Raw genomic sequence first — 8637 nt, forward strand, 5'->3', positions numbered from 1 at the left:
GATCTTGAACTCCTGACCTCAGGTGATCCACCCATCTCAGCCTTCCAAAGTGCTGGGATTACAGGCGTGAGCCACTGCACCCAACCTTGAACTTTCTTTACATTGATTGAAAACTGTCTCTCTGGGTCTTCTTCCCATTGGCCCAGGATCTGTTTTTTGGAGCTAGAGCCACTAAGTCTCTCTCTAGCCTGTTAAGTCCTTCAAAGAGCTAAACATCCCTGATTTGTTTTTTGTTTTTTTGACCTGTTTTTTTGGTATGGCAAATATTATCATAGTCATATCTTTAATGGATGAAAACATTCCCGAGTTTCAATCAGTAATGGTTTATTCCAAGGAATATGTGGTACATGAACATCACAGCACGACATGAGCACCAAGATAACCACTTCAATGATTTGACTTGCAAGACTTTTGACTACCAGGTTGTTCTATTTCTGGAAACTAAGAAGTACAAATTGGATAGGTAAAAATCAAGGAATGTTTTTAGGAATATAAATTTGCTAGGTTCTGAAAGATGTCAAATCAAAGTAACCAATGGGGCTATGTACAATCAATGGTCACCAGAAAAGGAAGCAATACTATGAAAATGGAAATAAAAGTTTTGCATTATAGAAAATAGACTATTTAATTATAAGCCTATCTCACATGTATTTAATACTAATACTGACTTTAACAGCACGCAGAATATATGTCCATAAATGTCCTTTTTTTCTTTTCTATTTATGATAAAGAAAGCATATGAGAATTACTGGGTCACTGCCTACTGGAGTTGTGAGAAGAGGGCCACAGTCCTCCAGACCCCAGAATGGTAGATCCACCGACAGCTTGCACTGTATTCCTGGAAAAGCCTCAGACGTTCAACGCCAGCCTGTGAAAGCAGCCAGGAGTGGGGCTGTACCCTGCAAAGCCACAGAGGCAGAGCTGCCCAAGGCCATGGGAGCCCACCTCTTGCCTCAGCGTGACCTAAATGTGAGACATGGAGTCAAAGGAGATCATTTTGTAACTTTAAGATTTAATAGTTGCCCTATTGGATTTTGGACTTAGATGGAGCCTGTAGCCCCTTTGTTTTGGCCAATTTCTCCCATTTGGAATGGGTGTATTTACCCAATGCCTGTACCCCCATTGTATCTAGGAAGTAACTAACTTGCTTTTGATTTTACAGGCTCATAGGCAGAAGGGAGTTGCCTTGTCTCAGATGAGACTTTGGACTTGGACTTTTGAGTTAATGCTGTAATGAGTTAAGACTTTAGGGGACTGTTGGAAGGGTGATGATTGTGTTTTGAAATGTGAGGGCATGAGATTTGGGAGGGGCCGGGGCAGAATGATATGATTTGGCTGTGTCCCCACCCAAATCTCATCTTGAATTGTATTTTCCATAATCCCCACATGTCATGGGAGGGACTTGGTGGGAGGGACCCCGTGGGAGGTAATTGAATCTTGGGGGAAGTTACCCCCATGCTGCTGTTCTTGTGATAGTGAGTGAGGCTTTCTCCCTTTTGCTCAGCACTTCTCCTTTCTGCCGTTATGTGAAGAAGGTTATGTTTGCTTCCCCTTCTGCCATGATTGTAAGTTTCCTGAGGCCTTCCCACCCACGCAGAACTGTGAGTCAATTAAACCTCTTTCCTTTATAAATTACCCAGTCTCAGGTGGTCTTTTATAGGAATGTGAGAAAGACTAATACCTCTTTCTATTGTTATTCTCACTTGACCTTCTAAATAATGCAGAATAGGAGAAAGCACTTTCCTCATTTTCATATGGGGAAGAGGGAGGCTCAGAGGTCAGTTGCCTGAAATCATGATGCTAGTTGGCATCATCAAGGTCCCGGGCTCAGAGCACAGGCTGGGCAGAGGTGAGTGGAGCCACAACTCTGAAGAAGTGTTTCCTGAAACTGCTGCAACCACACACAGAGCATAGATATCTAGATGAGTGGGAAAGACAGTAGGGGAAATGGCTTTATGATTGCAAATGGGTCTTTGTTCTTCATTAGCACCTCATTTATTTATTTAGGCATATTTATTTATTTATTTATTTATTTTTTGAGACAGGACCTGGCTCTGTTGCCCAGGCTGAAGTACAGTGGTGTGACTGCAACTCACTCTAGCCTTGACCTTCCAGGGTCAAGTGATCCTCTTGCCTCAGCCCCCTGCGTAGCTGGGACTACAGGCACATGCCACCATGCCTGGCTAACTTTTTAACTTTTTTGTAGAGATAGGGTTTTGCTATGTTGCCCAGGCTGGTGTCGAACTCCTGAGCTCAAGCAATCTGCCTGCCATGGCCTCCCAAAGGGCTGAGATTACAGGCATGAGCCACCATGCCTGGCCCCAGCACCATATGGAGAAGGATCAAAGACATCCTCGTTGACACCCAGTGTTTCTGGAATACTCTGTTTGTCTTTCCTGGCAAGGCTTAGGATGGCACTAGGGCCTGCTCCAGGTGGGGTGATAAATTATGAGGTTAGACTTGGAACAAGGGTACTGACATCTCATGAGATCCCCAAACAGGAACCATTTGTACCACGTCTCCTGGGACCAGGTCTGGGGTGGTTGCAGGATCTAAGGAGCTTGTGTATTGTATCTCCGGGTTTCCCTAGGAACATGGCGCAGGTTCTCATGGCATCCATTTCTCTTGGGGGCCTGTTCCACCACTCTCTCTTCATCCTTTTGCTCCTTGTGGCTTGTCACAAGCTGAGTTAGGTTTTCTCTTGGCCTCAACTGCCTCATGCCTCCCATAGCTCATTCTCCCCTTCCTGGCCTCCACACAGCAGGTCAGCCTCTGTTGCTCCCCTCTCTGTGTCCCCTGACTTGCACTTTCTTGGCTCAAGTCAAGGGCCCATCCTTGGTCCAGTCATCGAATGTCAGAGAGAATTGCACCGCAGGGTGCAAAACAAGGCTGTCCCATTGAGAAGGGCCATGGGCACAACCAGCACCACGATGGATCCCGCTCAGAAACCATGCAGAAGATTTGGACCTTGTGGCCACGAGCCCTCGAGTATTTGTTCATCTGCAGTCCCAAGAAATCTGTATTTCCTCTCCAGTAGGGATGTTCCCTAACATCGTAATGCAAATCACTTGAGGTTCGCCTGTGAGCAACTGAGCTACGAAGTTCAGGATCTCTTAGCCTCCTTCAGCTTACCAGAGTGAGAATGGCCCAGCCCACTCTTGTTGGTACCCAAGGTCTTTGACTTGCAGGGAACCGCACTGAATGCGAGTTGCTAGCTTCCAGGTGAGCATCTTCCGAGAGCTGTCAGATGGGTGCTCTGTGACGATCTGTTCAGCCCATTGCAACACTAGCTCCAACTCTTGGTGTAAAAGGTAAAGAGATGCTAAATCCAGCACTTATACATTTTCCTCAGTAAGTTACTATTATCCACAAGCCTTTAAAAATATGGCTTGCTTGGCAGGGCACAGTGGCTCAAGCCTGTAATCCCAGCACTTTGGGAGGCTGAGGCAGGTGGATCATGAGGTCAGGAGTTCAAGACCAGCCTGGCCAAGATGATAAAACCCCGTCTCTACTAAAAACTACAAAAAAATTAGCCAGGCACGGTGGCAGGTTCCTGTAATCCCAGCAATTCGGGAGGCTGAGGCAGGAGAATCGCTTGAACCCTGGCGGCAAAGGTTGCAGCGAGCCAAGATTATGCCACTGCACTCCAGTCTGGGAGACAGAGCAAGACTCTGTCTCAAAAAAAAAAAAAAAAAAAATGGCTTGCTCAAGAAGGCATTAGAGCTAAATCATCATTTATGTTTGTCACAGGGGTTGCAAATGTATAATGAGATTCCAGAGTTAATGTTTTGTACAAAGCACTTAGGAGAGCCGGGATGAAATTGGCTCAGAATTCTGATGTGGTGTTTTAATTAAAGATAGTTTCTAATCAAGGGTGGAGCAGAGGCTACTTACAAATGTCAGTGCATTGTCCCATCCACTGGTTCAGGGATGGGCGGGCGGCCTGTACTGCTGCCGGTAGAGAGAGCAGCAGCCGGGAAAATGCACTCAGCACACGGGAGTGAGGTGTTCACCTGGAGGTGCTGCTAGCCACCCGGGACCCCCGAGTGTGGCTACATCTCTGTCCCTGTGGACATCATCCTGGTGTGGCACCTCATGCAGGAGCTATGTTTCGGTGGAGCTGTGTGATGTCGAAGGGGTGCTACTGATTTTATGCAATAGACTGGGAGAGGGCTGGGCGGGTGAGCACACAGGCGTGACCTCTAGTGAGCTTCGACACCCCAGCCTCTGCGTCACTCTGAGAATTACAGCTTTGTAGCTTCGTATCCCTTTTCAGCAGGAGCCAGCATACCACTCCTCGCTCATTTCCCCGTGTGCTGGCCTCGCTCATTTTCTTTTGCAGGGACTTGTTCTGCTGAGAGAGTGACCTGGGCCCCGGCAGTCCCTGCAGCATTACTCCAAGCAATAACATTAATGGGGGTCTCGCGTTAGTATTTGAAGAGTCATCCGCTTCTGAAAAGTGTTGACGCAAAACCACGACGTCTAGGCAGGAAGTGGCCAATTGAACCAGGGCACGAGCTCTCATTTCATTAATGCTGTTGCTGTGAAGCCGAATTTCAGCTTAGGAAGTTAATTGAGTAAAATACTGAGAAACAGGCCTCTTAGTGCAAGGTCGCGTGACTAGTGGGTCTGGTGGGAATCATTCATGTACAGATTTGATGAAAATGATTTGTAGGGATTTCCTTGAATATTTAAGGTCATACATTAAAGTTTTAGATAGCCACTATGGTGGCTCTGGGACTGTCCCAGACCAAAGTATATCCTGTTAAGCTACAAAATGCATTTTGGGGGGTATATCACAGAATGATAAAAGCACACTTTGTTTTCTTTTTAAATCCAGGTCTCAGGCCTCCTGTTGGTTGATGTCATAGTCATTTTACTGTTAAATTGCATCAGTGTCTGCACAGGCACATTTTTGTGCGTGTGCGCGAGTTGGCCCTGTAGATGAGAACGACATTTCCCCTTCTCCAATTTAGAGAAGGCAGCAGGATTGCGAGGTGAGCCTCAGGGAAGAAGACATTCTGGATAGTTCACCCGAAGGCTTCTCTGGCTCCGGCACCTCAACCCCCACTTCCACTTCAGCACCTTGGTTTTCTGGTTTCTGAAAGGTTTTTGTTCTATGATCCCTTCCTGTGGAGTCAAGTTCTGTCTTTCATTAAAAGGCACATTCTCCGGGAGAGGACACATTTTCATCCTTATTGCTCATGACATTCTTCAAGTGGAGGCTGAGGACAGGGAGCTATTTCAGGAAGGGGAGGCTGGGGACCAAGCCTGCTCAGCCGACCATCTCTAAGGAAGCCCGGCCTCCAGCCATGCTCGCTGCCTTTCACCTGCGTTAGTTTGCTTGTTCCCATCCAGAACTTTCCCCTTTGAAGCTTCAGTCACAGGATAACATCACTATGAAACTACATCTTATATTTTAACATGTTGATTTCAATCAGCTTTTGTCAGCATTTTTGTCTCACTTGTTTTAACATAAAAAGCCAAATAGTTTTTCCATTTTCATGCATGATAGTCACTAAAATTATTTAGCAGCATTAGTTAATAACAGTCTGTCATCTAGAAAACTAGTTTGCATTTCATTTGGGAAAAAGATTTTAATAATTAAATATGATCAATAGTGGAATTACCATTCTAGCGAATATCTGAATCTGAGAAAGATGTCAATTTACACCTAGTGCTAGCACTATTTATTTCTTCAAAGGCTCTTATTTTAACAAGCTTAATTATCTTTATTTCTCTCTGATTCCATCTTCTTTCCCTTTCATATTTCGTTACTCATATAAACGCCTCCAGAGTAAGGCAGGATGGAGATATGTATTTTTCCCACTTGATATTAACATTAGGTAAGTCCCTTTAGTGATCTCTTGATCATTCATACAGTGTGTGGGCTGCAACTTTTTTTTTTTTTTTTTTTTTTTTGAGACAGAGTCTTGCTCTGTCACCCAGGCTGGAGTACAATGGCGTGATCTTGGCTCACTGCAAGCTCCGCCTCCCGGGTTCACGTTATTCTCCTGCCTCAGTCTCCCGAGTAGCTGGGACTACAGGCGCCCGCCACCACGCCTGGCTAATTTTTTTTTTTTGTATTTTTAGTAGAGATGAGGTTTCACAGTGTTAGCCAGGATGGTCTTGATCTCCTGACCTCGTGATCCACCCGCCTCGGACTCCCAAAGTGCTGGGATTACAGGCTGAGCCACCGTACCCGACCGGCGCTGCAACTTTTTTTAGAAAGTATACCCGATTGAAGAAAAGTGGGTAAATCCCACCATCTTAAGTTCAGGACTCAGTCAAAGGAACTGGGCTTAGTTGGTGCCTAGCCCAGCACTTTTCGCTTCCACTCAGTCGGTTCTTTACTAACGCCAGCAACGACGGCTGTTAAGTGGAAGGCGGTCAGCAAAGGTACTCAGGCCGGGTCCTCCCTGCAGTATGACTCTATAAAAACAACCACCAGAGCTCTCTTAGTTGCCGTTTGCTTATCAATATGAAAATACTGCATATTTCCCACAGAAGTGTTTTCATATGAACACTTTTGTCTGATTCTTACAATCTCCATTTGAACCATCATTGTGAAGGCCTCTGCTTTTCTCCCCAGGGACATAGCCTTTCCTCCCTCTGAAGGCCTGGCCACCAGGAACATTATTAGTTAGAGGCACCAGAAGAGGAGCTCGTACTCCAAAGAGAACAATACCCCCAGATACACCAACGCGTGCCTCTGCAATGCAGACAGAAGGGAGGAGTGGCCTTCTCAAACTTTCTCCCGCCCCCAGCCCATTTTAGGTGTCCTGGGAACTCTGCCCTGCCTGGGGCCCACTGATGCTTTCAACAGTCTCAAGGATAGAAAGTAGCTGGGCTTAAATCTTTATAATTGTTTCCTGTTATTTCTACTTATAACAAAAGCAAAATTTATATGTACATTATATGTACATATACATATATGTATACATATATATGCATATATATACATATATACAAAATATATATGTATATATATTTAAATATGTATATTTAAAATATATATATATTTTGAGATGGAGTCTCGCTCTGCTGCCCAGGCTGGAGTGCTGGTGCAATCTCGGCTCACTGCAACCTCTGCCTCCCAGGTTCAAGCAATTCTCCTGCCTCAGCCTCCTGAGTAGACGGGATTACAGGCGTGCACCACCACACTCAGCTAATTTTTTTCTGTTTTTAATAAAGATGGGGTTTCACCATATTGGCCAGGCTGGTCTCGAACTCCTGACCTTGTGATCTGCCCACCTTGGACTCCCAAAGTGCTGGGATTACAGGTGTGAGCCACTGTGCCAGGCCAAAAAAACATACTTTTATTTATAGCCTGTAGCTTCAGGTTGAGAAACTGTGTAGGCATTTAGTGGAGATGAAATTTACTGACAATTAAATCAGTTTCTAGGAAGCATGGGTAGCCCTCACTTCCTCTGCCTGGATCTGCACATCTGCACACCTAGAGTTCCGGGAAGACCAGGCAGCCCATGAGGCAAGTGGACCCAGGTATGGGTAGACTATGGGTGCAGGTGGACCTCAGGTGTAGGTAGACTATGGGTGCAGGTGGACCTCAGGTGTGGGGAGATTACGGGTGCAGGTGGACTATGGATGCAGGTGGGCCTCAGGTGTGGGGAGACTACGGGTGCAGGTGGACTATGGGTGCAGGTGGACTATGGATGCAGGTGGGCCTCAGGTGTGGGTGGACTATGGGTGCAGGTGGACGTCAGGTGTGGGGAGACTATGGGTGCAGGTGGACTATGGGTGCAGGTGGGCCTCAGGTGTGGGGAGACTATGGGTGCAGGTGGACTATGGGTGCAGGTGGGCCTCAGGTGTGGGGAGACTATGGGTGCAGGTGGACTATGGGTGCAGGAGGACTATGGGTGCAGGCGGGCCTCAGGTGTGGGTGGACTATGGGTGCAGGTGGGCCTCAGGTGTGGGGAGACTATGGGTGCAGGTGGACTATGGGTGCAGGTGGACTATGGATGCAGGTGGGCCTCAGGTATGGGTGGACTATGGGTGCAGGTGGGACTCAGGTGTGGGGAGACTATGGGTGCAGGTGGACTATGGATGCAGGTGGGCCTCAGGTGTGGGTGGGCCACAGGTACAGGAGGACTCTACATTGAAGCTGCACAGCTGCCACTTCTGCCCTAAAGGGTGCTCCCCTGGGAGAAGGTAGCCAAGCAGGACAGCGGCTTCTCTTGCTGGTTTCATACATCGTGCTTTGGAAATCTTTAATAAACAGAATGTCATGCAAGAATGAAAGCACATAAACAAACTTCTCAGCAAAACCTCGTTTCCCCTGCCTGTGATGTTGCTGCTTGTTATCTGTTCTGCTCCAGCGTCGGTGATGGGCAGGCTCATTCCAGGCAGCATGGGACGTGGACTTTGCAGAGGGCCCACCCTAGCGCCTCTCCTCTGCTGGGACACCCAGCCAGCTTCAAGGGCCTTTCCAGGGACTCTGTGAGGAAGGGATGACCGGAGGGGAGAGGAAAGAGGCACTTCCACAAAAATTTTTTTAAAGAAGACAGAATGAAAGCTGCTTTTCTTTAGTGTATAGATTAATGGAAGGAGCAGGTGGAGACACTGGGAGCTAATGAATCTGACGTCCCACCTGCAGCTGAGGACAGACCACCTGCCAGC

General features: G+C 47.0%; 2 annotated features.

Moving 5' to 3' along the window:
* Window positions 7289–7789: an enhancer, noted in NCBI's record as "H3K4me1 hESC enhancer chr6:164032378-164032878 (GRCh37/hg19 assembly coordinates)". NCBI's record gives its function as "activates a minimal SCP1, AML or CMV promoter by ChIP-STARR-seq in primed H9 embryonic stem cells {active_cell/tissue: H9 hESC(primed)}" and the evidence as "EXISTENCE:reporter gene assay evidence [ECO:0000049][PMID:30033119]".
* Window positions 7790–8290: an enhancer, noted in NCBI's record as "H3K4me1 hESC enhancer chr6:164032879-164033379 (GRCh37/hg19 assembly coordinates)". NCBI's record gives its function as "activates a minimal SCP1, AML or CMV promoter by ChIP-STARR-seq in naive H9 embryonic stem cells {active_cell/tissue: H9 hESC(naive)}" and the evidence as "EXISTENCE:reporter gene assay evidence [ECO:0000049][PMID:30033119]".

This window comes from Homo sapiens, chromosome 6, assembly GCF_000001405.40.
Source record: "Homo sapiens chromosome 6, GRCh38.p14 Primary Assembly".
Lineage (NCBI taxonomy): Eukaryota > Metazoa > Chordata > Mammalia > Primates > Hominidae > Homo > Homo sapiens.